Raw genomic sequence first — 16702 nt, forward strand, 5'->3', positions numbered from 1 at the left:
GAGAGCTTCTTGCGTCTCAGAAATGAAGAAAAAGCACAGGAAACAGCACTATCAGTCCAATAGGAAACAGCACTATTCATTCTCTGGGAGCTGCCCCAGCCCTATTCTGGGCCACAGTCTAGAACTTTCTTTTCCAGCTCACAACCTGCATGTAGCTCAGGTCCCTGGAGACCCCAGCCCAGCTGAGGGAGAGCAGTTTCCTGATTCGTGTGACAAGCAACTCCCTTCCCACCACTCCCTACTCCCTCCCAAGTACAGACAACCTTCCGTCCTGCTCCAGTTGAAGGGGTGACAACGATTCCTGAAGCATTCTGTCTGAGTCTAATGGTGGCTCTAGCCAGACACAGGGAAATGTGGCTGGCTGGCTGTTGGGTGATCCAGTTCCTTGGGAGCCAATGTTTGTACCCCTGGTATTAGCTGTTTTTCCCACTAAAATAAGCACTGAGAGGCAAGACCGTGTCCCTCTGAGCTATTTGCCGAAGACTTCAGGCTGGAGGAAAAAGAACAGGGCTTGATAGAAGTGCAAGGTGGATCCAGCACCAACTCTGCCATTTTCTAATCCTAGGTCCTGAGTGAACACTGACTGCCAGTTTACATCTCAGGTGTGTAGGGAGCGTGGAGGAGGCAAATCCTGTTTGGAGAAAGCCAGTGTCCAACACAGCACTTGGTAAACATCAGGCATGGGAATGCTGAGTGACAGGCACCATGGGCCACGCTGAGCCCCACTCGCTCATCTGGCTGGGGTCATCAGAGGGAGGCCCAACCCAGGATCTCCTGTCCATGGGCTGGGGAGCAGCAACAGTCAGGAGCGAGGGCCCAGCCCACCTCCCCTAGGAGGTGGAGGGAAGGGGGCTGAGTGGTTGTCAGGCGTGGTCCTCCCCATCTGCGACGTGGCGGTAGCCAGGAGGCTGGGCCTGCATCCGGAAGAGGACGGTGAGGAGCAGCACTATGAGGAGGAAGAGGATGGAGCCACATACAGCCAAGGCCACAATCACCTCTGGGCATGGGGGAGGCAAGAGAAAGGTCATGTCAGCGTTCCATCATATGCCAGCTACTGTTCTGACATATAGGAGATACACAGAGGTGGCCAAGACAGAGTCCCTGCTCTCATGGAGTTTACATTCTAGGAGAGGGGATGTAATAAATAAGCAAATGGGCTGGTCACAGTGGCTCACGCCTATAATCCCAACACTTTGGAAGGTTGAGGTGGGCAGATCACCTGAGGTCAGGAGTTGGAGACCAGCCTGGCCATCATGGTGAAAACCCATCTCTACTAAATAAAGTTGGCCGTGCGCAGTGGCTCACACCTGTAATCCCAGCACTTTGGGAGGCCGAGGTGGGTGGATCACCTGAGGTCAAGAGTTTGAGACCAGCCTGGCCAACGTGGTGAAATGCCGTCTCTACTAAAAATACAAAAAATTAGCTGGGCATGGTGGTGTGCACCTGTAATCCCAACTACTCGGGAGGCTGAGGCAGGAGAATTGCTTGAACCTGGGAGACAGAGGTTGCAGTGAGCCGAGATCACGCCACTGCACTCCAGCCTGGGTGACAGGATGAGACACCGTCTCAAAAAAAAAAAAAAAATTAGGAGTGACAGGTCAGTGACGAATGTGATACAGAGAGACAAAGCAAAGTAGGTCAGCAGGGAAGGCATCATTGAGAAAGTGAGAAGTTTAACAGAGACCTGGAGTCAATGAATGACATACAACAATCTGAGAAGAGTATCACAGGGCAGAGGAGACGAAGGGCAAAAGGCCCAGATGTGGGGATAAGCCTGGCACATGCTAGTATCATCAAGAGTCAGTCTCACCAGAGTAGAGTAAGCAAGGGGCATGTAGGAGATGGGGCAGGAGACCAGATGGAGTAGGGCCTAGAAGGCCATGGTGAAGAACTTGGATTTTATTCTATATGTGATGGGAAGCCACTAGAAAATTCTGAGAGGACAGTAGTATGAACTGGTTTACATTTTTTAAAAGTTAACTCAGTCGGCCGCGGTGGCTCATGCCTGTAATCCCAGCAATTTGGGAGACTAAGGCGGGCGGATCACCTGAGGTTGGGAGTTTGAGACCAGCCTGACCAACATGGAGAAACCTCATCTCTACTGAAAATACAAAATCAGCTGGGCATGGTGATGCATGCCTGTAATCCCAGCTACTCGGGAGGCTGAGGCAGGAGAATCACTTACACCCGGGAGGCGGAGGTTGCAGTGAGCCGAGATTGCGCCACTGCACTCCAGCCTGGGCAACAAGAGCAAAACTCCATCTCAAAAAAATAAAAAAAGTTAACTCTGCTGTGTTGAAAGACTGGTAGGGACAAGAATAGAACCAGAAAGAACTAGGAAGCTTTTCATTCGGTCAGGCAAGAGCTGACGGTAGATTGGACTGCGGAGGCAAGAGCACATATTAATATTTGAAAGGTTGAGCTGATCTGGCAGTGGGCTGGATGAGGGGTATGAGAAACGGTATGCAGAATGACCCCAAGGGTTATACTGTGCCACTAGGTGACTCGTGGCATTGACTGAAACAAGGAAGCCTGGAAGAAGAGCAGCTGTGGAAGGAAAAGCATCTGGTTTTAGACATTGCAACTTTGAGATGCCTTACTTAACATGCATGTAGAGATCTCAAGTTGGCAGCTGGATATGAGTCTCTAGCTCAGAGAAGAGGTTGTGAATCTGTGAGTCAGGGCGTAAGGACAGAAGTGGGCATGGAGATGGGCATAAAGTCATGAGGCTGCATGAGATCACTTGGGAGTGTGCACAGATGGGGAAAGCTCCAGGGATGAGTCCTGGGTCATCCGTTCTTTAGTGAGGAAGGGACGCCTGAAAGTCAGAAGCCAAGAAAGTGTTTCAGGAAGGGGTGACCAATTATGTAATGCTGCTGAGAGGTGAGAGAAGCTAAGAATTAGTCACTGGCTTTGGTAGGAGGTGACTGGTCACCAGACAAGTATGGCTTCAGGGTAGTGGAAGGTGACACAAGACTGTCTAATGTGAGTCTAAGAGAACAAGTGGTGAGGAAGCAGAGCCAGATTCTAGGCAGCTCTTTCAAGGATTCCATTCTGAGAGGGAAGAGGCTGGTGGCTGGGGAAGAGGTGGCTCTCAGAGGTCATGGATGGGCTTTTGGGAGGGAAGTGATCCAGTAGAGAAGCAGAGGCGTCAGAGCTCCTTGCAGAGATGAGGAGAGAACCCAAGTGCGGGTGGAGAGGCCACCCTAAGCGGTGGCTTCCCCCAGGAAGTAACCTGGTGGTGGGAGAACGAGCCAATTCTCTCTTGGCTCTTATTTTCTCGGTGATACAAGTGAGACATCACCCGAGGGTGAGAAGTGGGGAGAAGGTATAAAGCAGTCTGGGGTCGGGGAGGGAACTCCTAGCAAATGCAGTCAAATGGCTGGAAGTGCGACAGCTCTTGAGATGCGTGGATGTGAACTGCAGGCTGGTCTAGGGCATGACTAGCAAGGAGGCCGGTGACAGCTCACCTGTGTCTGCAGGACCGCTTGCCAGCTGGCACTCCTGCTGCCAATCCTTGGGCACGACGGGCTCTGTGAGGCGAAGGAAGTCCTGCAGTGGGCAGCGGTGAGGGCAGCCAGGCAGGCTGAGCGGCCAGGGGGCCTTGTCACTCTCGTTCCGAAAGTACATCTCCACTGAGAAATTCCTGAGGGTCGACAGGAGGCAACATGGGAGCTGCTCAGCCTGCCCATCATGGGGTCCTTGGGCTGCCCCGAGCCACCTCCCGAGGGCCCCCCTCCAGAGGACACTGCTAGCTCCACTCACCCAGAATCTTCCTGGTACAGTTCAAATATGTGGCAGGAGGCGTAGGGGGCTTGTTCACCATTGTAGACATCCAGTGCCATTTGCAGGGCAACCAGGGTAGTGTCGTGCTGCGGGGGAGAGGGGCTGCCCGTCAGCATTGTTCCCCACACCCGCAGGAACCGAACAGAGAAGAAATCCAGCTCCTTGCCTGACACAGCACGCTAGGGAGCGCAGGCACTCACCGCAGAGTAAACCAGCAGCTTGGGGAGCTGGGAGGTGGTCGCCATTAGGGTCAGGTTCTTCCTTATCTGAGCCAGCAGGACTCCTGAAGGAGAAAAGTCCCCGGTGTTGCTGGCTACAGCCACCTCTGCCTTCTAATTAGACCTATCTGTGCTCCTTTCACCCTCTGCCAGGCCTGGGCCTCATCACCTACACGGAGAACTCTTTAGTGTCATAGGGACCATGTAAGAACTCTGTGGCACCCCTCCTCTCTAAGAACTGTCAAATGTACAGAAGGAAGCAAGACAAAACAAGATATCTGCCTATATTTCAACACGGATGTAGAAACCTGCCTGTGTTTACAGAAGCACTTCAGTTTGAAACAAATGTAAACTTAAGATTGCTTCAGAGTACACAGCGGGTGGGTGCATGCCCGGGTAACTACCATATGCTCTGAAAAGTGAGATGTCAAAAAGGTGTGACAGCAGGCATGCCCTTAGGTGCTCAAATAAGGAAGCTGGCATGTGTGTTACTCTCAGCCTTCTCAAAATGGCCCCCAGTGGTTCTCTTGGGGCAGCTATTCATTTAGGAGAGGGAGGGTCTTCTGATGTGGGCGAAACTTAAGAACATGAATGGCAGGGCTGGGCGTGGTGGCTCATGTGTGTAATCCCAGCACTTTGGAAGGCTGAGGCGGGCAGATCACCAGAGGTCAGGAGTTTGAGACCAGCCTGGCCAACATAGTGAAACCCCATCTCTACTAAAAATATAAAAATTAGTTGGGCGTGGTGGCAGGCACTTGTAGTCCCAGCTACTTAGGAGGCTGAGGCGGGAGAATCGCTTGAACCTGGGAGGTGGAGGCTGCAATGAGCCGAGATCGTGCCACTCTACTATAGCCTGGGTGACAGAGCAAGACTCTGTCTCAAAATAAATAGGCTGGGTATGGCGGCTCATGCCTGTAATCCCAGCACTTTGGGAGGCCAAGGTGGGTGGATCACCTGAGGTCAGGAGTTCAAGACCAGCTTGGCCAACATGGTGAAACCCTGTTTCTACTAAAAATACAAAAATTAGCTGGGCATGGTGGCTGAGGTCAGGAGTTTGAGTCCAGCCTGGCGAACATGGTGAAACCCCGTTCCTACTAAAAATACAAAAGTTAGCCAGGCATGATGGCATGTGCCTGCAATCCCAGCTACTCAGAAGACTGAGGCAGGAGAATTGCTTGAACTCAGGAGGCAGAGGTTGTAGTGAGCCAAGATCGAGCCATTGCACTCCAGCCTGGGTGACAAGAGGGAAACTCCATCCCCCCGAAAAAAAATAACAATTTTTTTAAAAAGAATATGAATGGCAGAAAAGGAAGAGAGGTGGGGAAATTTGGTGACTAGCGGCATGAGGAGGGGGATTTGGTTTTGAAAGAGCAGGGAGTGTTTCAGTAGAGAGGGAAGTGTGTGAGAAGCCCCCACAGCAGATTTTTAACGCCTTAGGGTCCTGAGGAGTAGAGTGACACGCTGTCCTTGTCACTCACCCCCCTGAAGCCGGGCCTTCTCCGCCTGCTGGTAGATTCCGAAGAGGAAGCGGAAGCTGAAGTCCTTTAGCCGGCTGAGACGCTGCATGGTTTGGGGTGAGGCCCAGGGCGGCAGGCGCAGCCCGTGCGTTTGCTGTGTATCGCAGCAGGCAGGTTAGCGCCCCAGGCCTAGGCCAGCCTCTCCAGGGGGCAGCTCTCTTCCCTAGTGGGAAGGTGCCTGTGTGTGTGAGGGAGGGAGAGGGGAGAGAGGCAGAGGGGCTGGAACCAGTAGACATGGCAGGCGGTGTGGATGCTTCAGGGCACAGGAAAGGAAGCTCAGGCACAAAAAGTGAGACTCAGCAGAAAGGAGCTCTGGGTGGAGAGCAGCAGGGACTGCTGACAATTAATAAACCATTTCCCACTCTGAGGATCTCTGTCACCCATGAGGGAAGTTCCCGTGTTTCACAAGCACAGCCTCCCTGGACCTCCCCAGGGGCGTGACGGTATCAGGCACTGTGTTCTACCGTCCTGGTGACCTGGGCCTGCTGAGAGGGAAAAGAATGATCACAGTGGGCACCCTAGTGGGCTCACCTCACAGAAGAGTGTGTCATAGACATTCCAGACGGTCTCCAGTGTCAGGTCTGTAAGCCCTGTCTCGTTGGCCACCATGTCCAGAAATTGCTATGAAAAATGGATCAGGGTCTCAGTCCTGCTCTGGGGAAAAGACAGCGTGGTGAGCTGCACCTCTGCCCCCACTCACTGCATTCCGAGAACTCTCATTCTGATACTCTGGTGTCTGCCGGGTCTCGTTCTGCAGCTGCTCATAACGGGGACATGGGCCCAACGGGAACTTCAGCAGCTGTAGAGCGAAGCGGGGAAACAGGCAGCGGGAAAAGGAGCCTGGCATCAGCAGGCCTACGGCCAGAGCTGTCCCCTCACCACCCCAGGGAAGGGCTGGCCACTCTTACCCTGTCCTCAGTGATGGGCACAGTGTGCACAGGAATAGGCTGCCACGAGATGTTCGGGTTGAAGCGCTGCATCCCGTTGGGAGGGAAGAGTCCAGCCAGGTTGGCCTCAGCACTCATGAGAGTCCGGTCAAAGTCTGTGCTTCGCACATAAACCTGCAGCGATAGCAACACAAGTCGTGTGTGTGTGTGTGTGTGTGTGTGTGTTGGGGAAGTTTTGGTCACCCTGAAGTGGAGCCTTGTATGTATGTGTGTGTGTGTGGTGGGAAGTTTTGGTCACCCCAAAGTGGAGCCCCAGAGGAGAACCTGTTCCTGATGGTCACCCAGCAAACTAAACCTACCATACATCTGGCCCTCACCCTCCTCTGGCCTCTGGCCTTCCCCATCCCCCAAACACTCCACTGGGGGTTGTCACCACTCTGTGAAGAACTCTTGTGGGAATGGCCTTAGTTGAAATGCCCCTTCCAGTCAAAAGTGCTGAGTCAATCAGTAAGGCTCTCTGGTCTGTCTGGTTTCATAACAACACCTCTCTCCCTGTCTAGATCAGGGTCCTTGGGGCAGAAACTGGCTCCAGTGACGACCCTTAGAGACCAGGGAGAAAAAAATAAGATAAAGGGCTGGGCCTGGTGGCTCACACCTATAATCCTAGCACTTTGGGAGGCCAATGCAGGAGGATCGCTTGAGGCCAGGAGCTCGAGACCAGCCTGGGCAACATAGTGAGACCCTGTCTCTACAAAAAAAAATTTTTTAATTACCCAAGTGTGGCGGGCACTTGTAGTCCCAGCTACTTGGGATGCTGAGGCAGGAGGATCACTTGAGCCCAGGAGTTTGAGGCTGCAGTGAGCTATGACTGAGGCATGTGCTACAGTTTGGGTGACAGAGTGAGACCCCTTTAAAATATATGTATATATTTTGGGCCGGGCACGGTGGCTCATGCCTGTAATCCCAGCACTTTAGGAGGCCGAGGCAGGCGGATCAGCTGAGGTCAGGAGTTCAAGACCAGCCTGGCCAACATGATGAAATCCTGTCTCTACTAAAAATACAAAAATTAGCCAGGCATGGTGGCACACACCTGTAATCCCAGCTACTTGGGAGGCTGAGACAGGAGAATCGCTTGAACCTAGGAGGTGGAGGTTGCAGTGAGCCAAGACCATGTCACTGCACTCCAGCCTGAGCAACACAGCAAGACTCTGTCTCAAAAAAAAAAATTTTTTTTGAAGAGCTTATTCAGAGATAGTGGCTCATGAAAAGGGAGGAGGAAACTGGGGAAGGACAAGCTCAGGACAGAGCTGGGCCTTAAGAGAACAATAACAATGTCTATGGATTCTTGATACGGCTGAGGCTGACAGTGGTAATCAGAGGAACAGCTTCCCCCATTCCTGGGGTGGGGCGAAGACTCAAGGAGCAGGCACACTCACCAGTCCTCCCTGATGTGCCCTAGGAATATAGCACGACCTGGCGCAGCAGACAGGGCTCAAAAACCTCATCTTGATCAAGAAAAGACAAGCCCTCTCTACGCATGTCTTCCCCGCTGTCTTTCATCTTGGCCCTGTCTGGTTTATCATTAGATACCCCCACAACATTCTAAGCTCCATGAAGACAGAGATCATATCTGTATGGTGCACAACTGAATGCAAAGTGCTAGCACAGTCCTTGGCCTTTAATAGGTACTCAATGTCTTGGATGGAAAGCCTGTGATTTCACAGTCAGAAACCACTTTGCCAGGCCCGCCCTTAAGTCCGAATTTGGATGCTTAATCAAATTTGCCTCATCCCAGCCAAGCAGGGGCAACTCAGCTCCTAGGGCTTTGTTCCAGACAGCTCTCAGATGTCTTTTCCTGTAGTTGTGACCAAAAATACAAGAAGGAGGCCAAAGTGCCCAGCCTCAGCCTTAGGCTCCCTGAGGGCAAAAGATGAGGGCAGCATACCTTGTTCCCCTTGCCTCTGGAGCTCCCAACCTTACCTCTTGCCGGTGATAAGAGGTGTTTAGGAAGCCGTGATAGCGCTGCCGCAGGGCCTGGCCCAGTTCCCAGTGCTGTAGCATCCCCTCCTGTGGGCAAACCCAAGGGTTAAGAGGGTCTAGAGGGAAGGGGTGGCTTCAAGCCCCATGGGGTTTAGGCCCTGTTGCTTTCCAGGTTCACGCTTTGCTGGAGTCAATTAATCTGATCCCAGAAGTCTTTCATTAAGTGGCCAGTCATGCACAGCAATATCATGGGCACAGAGATTAAGGTTATGAAATCTGGTCAAAGTCAGCACCCATATGGGAAAAGGCAGTTTAGTAGGACCCCAAGTTTTGTAGACTGCTCTAGACGTCGCTCATTCTGCAGCTCATCCTGAGGAAAGGCTGGCTTCTGACCCACCTTGGTTAACTGACCAAACCCCTGGGGCCATTCTTCTTCCTGATAGGGGTCCTTGGGATATGTCTTCACTGGTGAACGGTCTCCATGGCGGTACAGCTGAGAGAATAAAATGGTTTGCCTATAGGTCAGAAGCATCCCCTTGATAGGGACCCAGAGCCTACCTTTTGCCCCATGTTAGGGAAGGAAGTCTCATTCCCTCTGGGAAGCCTACTGGCTGCAAAAGACCCCAGCTAGGAGTCAGTCACTTCTTCCAGATTCCAGAGATTCTAACTTAGCTAAGCAATGCTACTGGAGACCATAGGCAAAGCCAAGGTACAGGTAGGAAGGGAAAAGAGAAGTGAAAGCAACGTATGTGGTGGGGACAACTGGGGAAAAAAGATAACCAAAGGCTTCTTTAGGGATGAGTCTTAACCATTCAACCACTTCCCTGTCTCAAGGCAGACTCACCCCGACGTATTCGGTCATCCTGACTCCCATAAGCCAGGGCTCCAGGTCAATCCTGAATCCAGCCTCCCAACTACCCAGGCCAGTCGTCCCCTCCTAAACCAGCTGTTCCTTCCCGAGATCCTCGACCTCCACCAGCTGGCCTTTGCCCTTTTAGCTTCAGGGAAGTCTTTGGTGAGCCCATCTCTCATTACCAAGGTAACGAAGCGCAGACTCCGGGCCCGGGTGGGCGGCATCACCACCAGGTTCACGCCGAGAAGGAGCTGGAGGAGAGCCGCCCGGCTCCAGCCGGACCGCTTGCCCGCCATCACCGTTGTAATCTATGCAGCAAACAAGCTGGAACCCGCTGGGTGGCACCTGCAAGCAGCCGCCCGGACGCACCCGTAAGGACACACGCCGGAAGTGCGTTCGCCGCCATCTTACTTAGGGACCTGCTGGGGTGCGGGGAAAAGGCGCAGTCTCGGTGGGATTGCGTGCAGGAGGGTCGTGGTCTGGCTGTGGCGGAGGAGCATAAGAAGGTAACGCGACCTGGCGCGGCAGACAGGGCTCGAAGACCTCATCTTGATTAAGAAGGCCACAAATTCGCGTTTGCCTCTGCTCGGAGAAATCCCTTACCAAGGTGGCACTTGCAGTGGGCGGGACCATGTCTGGAGAACCAGCGTCCCCTCCAGGCTTGACCCCATAGCTAGATCGGGTGCAGAATTGAGGCGAGGGATGGGAAAGTAGAGGTCGCTTCTCTCCACGCCCCTGCCTTTGTGGGGAGATTGAGCCCTGGCCCTGTTCTCCAGGAGATGTTTTGCTTGGGGTGCAGGACACAGTATGTAAACAACCCTTTGGACTCCGTGTGTCCTTGAGGTTGCCCCAGTCTGGCCTACCGTTCCTGCCCTGCACAAAGCTTCAGTAGCCCTCTCACTTTCCCTTCCAGTCCTTTCCCTGTCCTCCCTCCCCTCCACTTCCAAGTTTTAGTTAATTAGAGTCAAGACGTCATGTCATGCCTCTTCCCAAAGGAGTTGGGTTGCACAGGATGTTCAGACTTTACAAACCCAAAGCACTGAATCCCTGGGGGAGGAATTTCAGACCAGTGGGGAGGTATTTTGAGGTAAGGGACAGGCGCATATCATAAAGTGGGAGTAGGTGGGGTTTCCACAGAATCAATGGCCCTCTTGGCATTGACCATTAGGATTCAGGTGCAGCCAGTTTGGCCTCAGGACTTTGTGACTCCTGTGACGGTTGCAGGTCAGATCATAGGTCCTGGGGATGCTTTGATTCAGATCTGCCTACTGGAAGCAAATCTCCTCAGATCTTTGGGAAACAAAACTGATCAGGCTTGGCCTGGGCGCCGTGGCTCACCTGTAATACCAGCACTTTGAGAGGCCGAAGCAGGCAGATCACCTGAGGTCAGGAGTTCGAGACCAGCCTGGCCAACGTGGCGAAACCCCGTCTCTACTAAAAATACAAAAAAAAAAAAATTAGCCGGGTGCAGTGGCGTGCTCCTGTAATCCCAGCTACTCTGGAGGCTGAGGCAGGAGAATCGCTTGAACTCGGAAAGCGGAGGTTGCAGTGAGCTGAGATCACGCCACTGCACTCCAGCCTGCGCGACAGAGTGAGACTGTCTCAAAACAACAACAACAAAAACCTGATTAGGCTTGGTGTGGTGGCTCACGTTTCTAATCCCAGCACTTTGGGAGGCCAGGGTGGGAAGATTGCTTGAGCCCAGGAGTTGGAGACCAGCCTGAGCAGCTTAGGAAGATCTCCTCTCTACAAAAAAAAGTTTAAAAATTAGCTGGGTGTGGTGGCACACACCTGTGGTCCTAGCTCCTCGGGAGGCTGAGGTGGGAGGATCACCTTCAGCCCAGGAGGTTGAGGCTGCAGTGAGCCATGATGGTGCAACTGCACTCCAGTCTAGATGACAGAGCAAGACTGTGTCTCAAAAAGAAGAAAAGAAAAAAAAAGATCAGGATTATCTGTCTTTATTTTGTCCTAGGACTCCAGATTCAATTATTTATATATACTTCAGGATTTAAACTTTGCTTCCAGAGTTGTCATGGAGGAGGCCAAGAAGCAAATAGAGTAAGAGCCAAAGCCTGGGTAGCCAAACAGTTCTTAACCTTCTTATTTAATCACAAGCCCCTTTATGAATCACATGAAAATTTTGCACCTCTCCTCCAGAAAAATGTTCACACATATAAACACACACATGGAATTTTGCATATAATCCCAAATGGTTCACAAAGACCATTTATTACAGGTTTCATAAATCAGCATCTCTGAATACCTGATTTAACCTAGTCCTCTTACTTTACAGCTTAGGAAACAAACCTAAAGAGAGGAAGTGACTTGCCCAAATTCACAGTTTGGGCATGGGCACAGTTTGAGAATGGATTAAAAGTCAAGTTTTGGCCGGGTGCGTGCTCACGCCTGTAATCCCGGCACTTTGGGAGGCCGAGGCGGGTGGATCACGAGGTCAGGAGATCAAGACCATCCTGGCTAACATGGTGAAACCCCATCTCTACTAAAAATACAAAAAGTTAGCCGGGTGTGGTGGCAGGTGCCGGTAGTCCCAGCTACTCAGGAGGCTGAGGCAGGAGAATGTCGTGAACCCAGCAGGCGGAGCTTGCAGTGAGCGGAGATCGTGCCACTGCACCCCAGCCTGGGCGACAGAGCAAGACTCCGTCTCAAAAAAAAAAAGTCAGGTTTTGTGATTTTCAGTTAAATAGTCTATAATGGGCTGCTTCTTGCAGGCTACTCAAACTGCATTACTAAACTGTAATTGGTGATCCCGAAATCCTTTCAATAAAGAGGTATCTGTCAAAGGAAACCTTTTCAAATTAGTTGGACTAAACGGGACCTAGGCCGGACATGGCTCACACCTGTAATCCCAGCACTTTGGGAGGACGAGGCGGGTGGATCACCTGAGGTCAGCAGTTCAAGACCAGCCTGGCCACCATGGTGAAACCCCATCTCTACTAAAAATACAAAAATTAGCCAGTCGTGGTGGCGTGTGCCTGTAATCCCAGCTACCGGGGAGGCTGAGACAGGAGAATCACTTGAACCCAGGATACAGAGGCTGCCGTGAGCCGAGATTGTGCCACTTCACTCCAGCCTGGGCAACAGAGCGAGACTCTGTCTCAAAAAAAAAAATAAAATAAAGAGGGCTTGGGTAATTGGCAAAATGCTGCATATTAGTGGTAGTGGGAGGCAGTTGAGTGTTTTGTTTTAATGGGCCTCTTACTCCTTGCAAACTAGCCAGACCATTGTACTTTCAGAGTGTAAATCTTTGGCTCACCAAATTTCAGCTATCTCTCAAATTCAGCTTTTGCTTTTCTTCCCACTTGCTCAAATATGTCTATATTCTTTGTGCATGCAAGTATCCCACGTAGGAGGGATTGATGAAGCAGATACTATTTCAGTTTTTATAGGGAGAAACTATTCCAGGAAGGGTGGGGATTACAGCGCAAGTAGATAGTAGAGCCTGAAGCTGAGCCCTAGTTTCTTCACCCCTTTGCCTTCAGCTTTTGCATTTTCTGCCAGATGATTCTGTGGTTCTTACACTTTGGTTCGTAACTACAGGTGCAAAAAAAAAAAAGAAAAAAAAAAAACACATGTAGATAGATGGATATGTGGGCCTATCCCAGATCAAATAAATCAGAATCTCTGAAGGTGAGGACAGGAACCACTACCATATTCTGTGTTGGCAGAAGCAAACCTAAATCCAGGTATGTTAGCCATTTTTTTTCCATCTGAAGAGGCAGTTTTTGTTTTGTTTTGTTGTTGTTGTTGTTGTTGTTGTTGTTTTTGAGATGGAGTTTTGCTCTTGTTGCCCAGGCTGGAGTGCAATGGCGTTATCTCGGCTCACAGCAACCTCCGCCTCCCGGGTTCAAGCGATTCTCCTGCCTCAGCCTCCCGAGTAGCTGGGATTACAGGCATGTGCCACCACGCCTGGCTAATTTTGTATTTTTAGTAGAGACAGCTTCTCCATGTTGGTCAGGCTGGTCTCGAACTCCCGACCTCAGGTGATCTGCCCATTTTGGCCTCCCAAAGTGCTGGGATTACAGGTGTGAGCCACCGCACCCACCCGGCTGTTTTTTTTGTTTGTTTTGTTTTGTTTTTGTGACAGAGTCTCCCACTGTCGCCCAGGCTGGAGTGCAGTGGCACAGTCTCGGCTCACTGCAAGCTTCACCTCCCAGGTTCACGCCATTCTCCTGCCTCAGCCTCTCGAGTAGCTGGGACTACAGGCACCTGCCACCACACCTGGCTAATTTTTTTGGCTTTTTTTTTTTGTATTTTTAGTAGAGACAGGGTTTCGCCGTGTTAGCCTGACCTAGTGATCCACCCACTCGGCCTCCCAAAGTGCTGGGATTACAGGCATGAGCTACTGCGCCCGGCCCCAGCCGGCAGTTTTATATAATGGAGTGTATTTGTGATTTTTGTTTGTTTGAGCTTGAGCTCAAACTTTTGAATCAGCTAAACTTGTATTCTTTTTTTTTTTTTTTTTTTGAGACAGTCTCCCTCTGTCACCCAGGCTGGAGTGCAGTGGTGCAATCATGGCTCACTGCAGCCTCGACCTCCTGGGCTCCAACAGTCCTCCTACCTCAGCCCCCCAAGTGGCTGGGACTACAGGCAGATGCCACCACGCCTGGCTAATTTTTGTGCGTGTGTGTGTTTTCTGTAAAGGTGAGGTTTCGCCATGTTGCCTAGGCTAGTCTCAAACTCCTGGACTCAAGCGATCTGCCCTTCTTGGCCTCCCAAAGTGCTAGGATTACAAGTGTGAGCCACCACACCCAGTCTTATACCTGTATTCAAATTTGATATTTGCCCCTTGCTAGTAACTATCTCCTAGAGTTTACTGTGAGAATAAATGAAATAATGCATGTAAAGATAAATGTATGTAGTAGGGATGAAATAAATGTCACATCTTTCCTTTCTGCCTTCTGTATCATCTCTGAACTCAGGTCTGGGAATCCAGGTTTCTGGATTATTCTCTATGTTGTGATTGGAAGGTTGGGCAGAAGTCACTTGAGTAGATACGCAGTGGTCTGCAAGATGATCCCTGCACTTTCCACCCTTCCAGAACGGTGAAGGAGGGAACAAGAAGCAGTTCTCCTGGTCCATCCCTGCAGACCTTACCCTGTGGCCTGCTTCATGGGAATGAGTACTTTCAGGGCAGTTAGCCAGTACTACCTGTGACCATGGCTGGTGAATGCTCCTGTTTCTGCTTCAAGTTTCTCCTTGCTGTGAGAAGAAACCTGTGGAGGTTCTGGGGGGCCAGATATGTGACTTGGTAGATCCCCGAGTGTGTTCCCAGAGACATTGCCTCCTGCAGGAGCCAAGGAAACACAGAAGAGGCCCATAGGACTGGGGGACTTTGGACCTAACAACTGTGGGCTGGTGGGACTGTGGCACGGGGGTGGGGCTGCCAAAGTGGGAACATGATTCCAGCTGCTGATCACTTCACTGCTTGCCCTGGCTTGAAGTAAGTCTCAGTGGTTGGTCTCCAGAAACTCCATGGAAATACTGCCCACAGGTTTTGGTCTTCTCCCATTTTCCTCTCCTTTTCCCTCTTTGTAGGGATGAGGGTTGGGGTTTCTGAGCTGTAACCTGATAGGACGGCTCTGGCAGTTGAAGTCCTGGTTATAATTCCTCCTAAACAGGAGACCCTAGCCTGCCCACCCCCACTCCCACAAGATGGGGCTCGTATGTGGTCCTGGGTCCTGGGAAGCCACCTGTGGGGAGACTAGGTGTCAGGGGAGGGAGTTGAAGAACAAAGTGGATGAAAGAGGCTTCTCCCAGCTCCCAGAAGATAGGGCACCAGGCCCCAGACCATTGAGTCCTGAGTTTCTTGAAACCAGCCATCTCTGTGACATCTCTGGCTGCCCTGCTGGGCTGGAGCTTCTGGGAGCAGGGAGGTAGAGGAGGGAGCTGGACTGGTGATGTGGGTGCTGGGACAGAATAGTGCCAGTCTCTCAGTGACTAGAGTCCCTGGTTTCTGCTTTTCCAGGACAGCTGGGGCCTTGTGAAAATCAGAGAGGGAACACAGGCGAGAGGAATGGAGAGCCTTGTGCTTGTGACTCAGAGATACCCAGACCAGGGTGGGGGCCTTGGGAGGGGACGACCTTGTGATGAGGGGGAACAAAAGCAAAAGCTGGAGGCAGAAGTCTGAGATGGGGGTGTCACAGGGGCTTTTCTGAAATGTGAAAATGAATACATGGGCAGATTTTGCAACAGCACCCAGCCTGCTGTCTTCTCACACTCTGCTCCCCAGCCCCGGCCTGTTCCCCCTCTCCCACCCTGTGCTTCCTCTCATCTTTCACCAGGCTGCTCTTCTGCCTCAGCCTTCATCTTTTTCTCATCTGGTTCCTTCTGTCCCATCTACACCCCCTGTCCACTCTTTCCCTGTTTCCTGTGTTCTCTTCCCTGGTGCCCTGTTCATCTGTTTCGGTCTCTTTGGCTGCTTGCCCTGGCCCCCGTCCTTCTATGCTTTAATGTGGGGCCCATGGGAACTGGAGTTCATAGCAAAACAGGAAGAGCCGGTGAGCAGGAAACTGGGAATGGGGCAGGGGGTGAATGACCAGCAGTAACCTCAGCAGCTTGCCTCCCACATCTGGACTGGAGCATCTGCAGGGTTCTCAGCCTCTCCCCTGTAGCCCACCAGCCCTGGCTGCTTCCATTACAGCACTTCACTGGCCCAAGACGCAACAAGACAAGATTGTCCTGGACTCTGACACAGCAAAGGGACTGGAGTGAGGACATCTGGGTTCTGATCCCAGCCCAGCCACTAACTGTGTGGTCTTGGAAAAGGCCCTCACATGAGTTTCAGTGTTCTCTGTCAAATGGAGCTCGGGTTACTTACCCTCCTTTCCTCCCAGCGCTGCTCTAAGGACCAGAAAAGATAGTGAAGGGTTTGTGCTGTGTATGGAAACAAGTACAAAGTTCAAAATCCACCAAGTTAAAGCAATGGGAAGACCTACAGCTGAAAGAACTGGGAGGGTGATGATAACTCGTGCCATTTCTCAAACACTATGTGCCACACGTTGTGATAGACTCTCTTTCTTTCTTTCTTTTTCTTTCTTTCTTTCTTTCTTTCTTTCTTTCTTTCTTTCTTTCTTTCTTTCTTTCTCTCTCTCTCTCTCTCTCTCTTTCTTTCTTTCTTTCTTTCTTTCTTTCTTTCTCTTTCTCTCTCTCTCTCTCTTTCTTTCTTCTTTTTTTTTGGAGTTTTGCTGTTGTTGCCCGGGCTGGAGGGCAATGGCGCGATCTCGGGTCATTGCAACTTCTGCCTGCCAGGTTCAAGTGATTCTCCTGCCTCAGCCTCCTGAGTAGCTGGGATTACAGGAATGCATCATCACACCCGGCTAATTTTTTGTATTTTTAGTAGTGATGGGGTTTCACCATGTTGGCCAGGCTGGTCTGGAACTCCTGACCTCAAGTGATCCATCTGCCTTGGCCTCCCAAACTGCTGGGATTACAGGCATGAGC

General features: G+C 51.4%; 2 protein-coding genes across 15 annotated transcripts in view, besides 3 other annotated features; one reads left to right on the forward strand and one right to left on the reverse strand.

Annotated features, from left to right (window-relative positions):
* On the reverse strand, positions 50-9562 carry ACP2 (acid phosphatase 2, lysosomal). Of its 7 annotated transcripts, none has more exons than NM_001610.4 (11): positions 9424-9562; positions 8786-8881; positions 8389-8475; positions 6430-6582; positions 6222-6320; positions 6053-6142; positions 5483-5615; positions 3987-4069; positions 3766-3872; positions 3471-3646; positions 50-997 (listed from the first exon to the last, which is right to left on the reverse strand). In NM_001610.4, exons 1-11 carry the CDS (start codon positions 9535-9537, stop codon positions 864-866), a joined length of 1272 nt encoding a protein of 423 aa, NP_001601.1. In that variant the 5' UTR covers positions 9538-9562; the 3' UTR covers positions 50-863. The 7 variants fall into 6 exon arrangements, 6 of the variants coding, with proteins under 6 accessions (NP_001601.1, NP_001343945.1, NP_001289418.1 ...); NM_001302489.2 differs by lacking the exon at positions 9424-9562 and adding an exon at positions 9233-9376; NM_001302490.2 differs by lacking the exon at positions 8786-8881.
* Positions 9028-9117: an enhancer, noted in NCBI's record as "active region_4693". NCBI's record gives its function as "activates an Ori minimal core promoter by ATAC-STARR-seq in GM12878 lymphoblastoid cells {active_cell/tissue: GM12878}" and the evidence as "EXISTENCE:reporter gene assay evidence [ECO:0000049][PMID:35858748]".
* NR1H3 (nuclear receptor subfamily 1 group H member 3) overlaps positions 9048-16702 on the forward strand; it is a 20734-nt gene continuing 13079 nt past the window's right edge. For 5 of the 8 annotated variants that reach the window (XM_047426201.1, XM_011519805.3, XM_047426198.1 and 2 more), the window contains exon 1: positions 9643-9747. Coding sequence is in view for 2 of the 8 variants with exons in the window: in NM_001251935.2 (NP_001238864.1) it covers positions 9552-9612 (61 nt within the window). In the remaining 6 variants the exon portion in view is untranslated. Of the gene's footprint in view, positions 9104-9386; positions 9613-9642; positions 9748-9827; positions 9849-16702 lie in introns of those variants that run through there. The other 3 variants (NM_001251935.2, NM_001251934.2, XM_024448298.2) reach the window with 3 other exon arrangements.
* Positions 9248-9757: an enhancer, noted in NCBI's record as "active region_4694". NCBI's record gives its function as "activates an Ori minimal core promoter by ATAC-STARR-seq in GM12878 lymphoblastoid cells {active_cell/tissue: GM12878}" and the evidence as "EXISTENCE:reporter gene assay evidence [ECO:0000049][PMID:35858748]".
* Positions 9838-10005: a silencer, noted in NCBI's record as "fragment chr11:47270641-47270808 (GRCh37/hg19 assembly coordinates)". NCBI's record gives its function as "represses an EF-1alpha promoter that drives an FKBP-Casp9 reporter gene in an ReSE screen in K562 erythroleukemia cells {active_cell/tissue: K562}" and the evidence as "EXISTENCE:reporter gene assay evidence [ECO:0000049][PMID:32094911]".

This window comes from Homo sapiens, chromosome 11, assembly GCF_000001405.40.
Source record: "Homo sapiens chromosome 11, GRCh38.p14 Primary Assembly".
NCBI lineage: Eukaryota > Metazoa > Chordata > Mammalia > Primates > Hominidae > Homo > Homo sapiens.

Bases quoted from the DNA above. Each gene is read 5' to 3' on its own strand.
- ACP2 (NM_001610.4), bottom strand. From the start codon at position 9,537: ATGGCGGGCAAGCGGTCCGGCTGGAGCCGGGCGGCTCTCCTCCAGCTC. The intron at 8,476-8,785 runs GTGGGTCAGAAG...GTTTGCCCACAG, and splicing joins GGTTTGGTCAGTTAACCAAG to GAGGGGATGCTACAGCACTG. The intron at 6,143-6,221 runs GTGAGTGGGGGC...CATTTTTCATAG, and splicing joins ATGAGAGTTCTCGGAATGCA to CAATTTCTGGACATGGTGGC.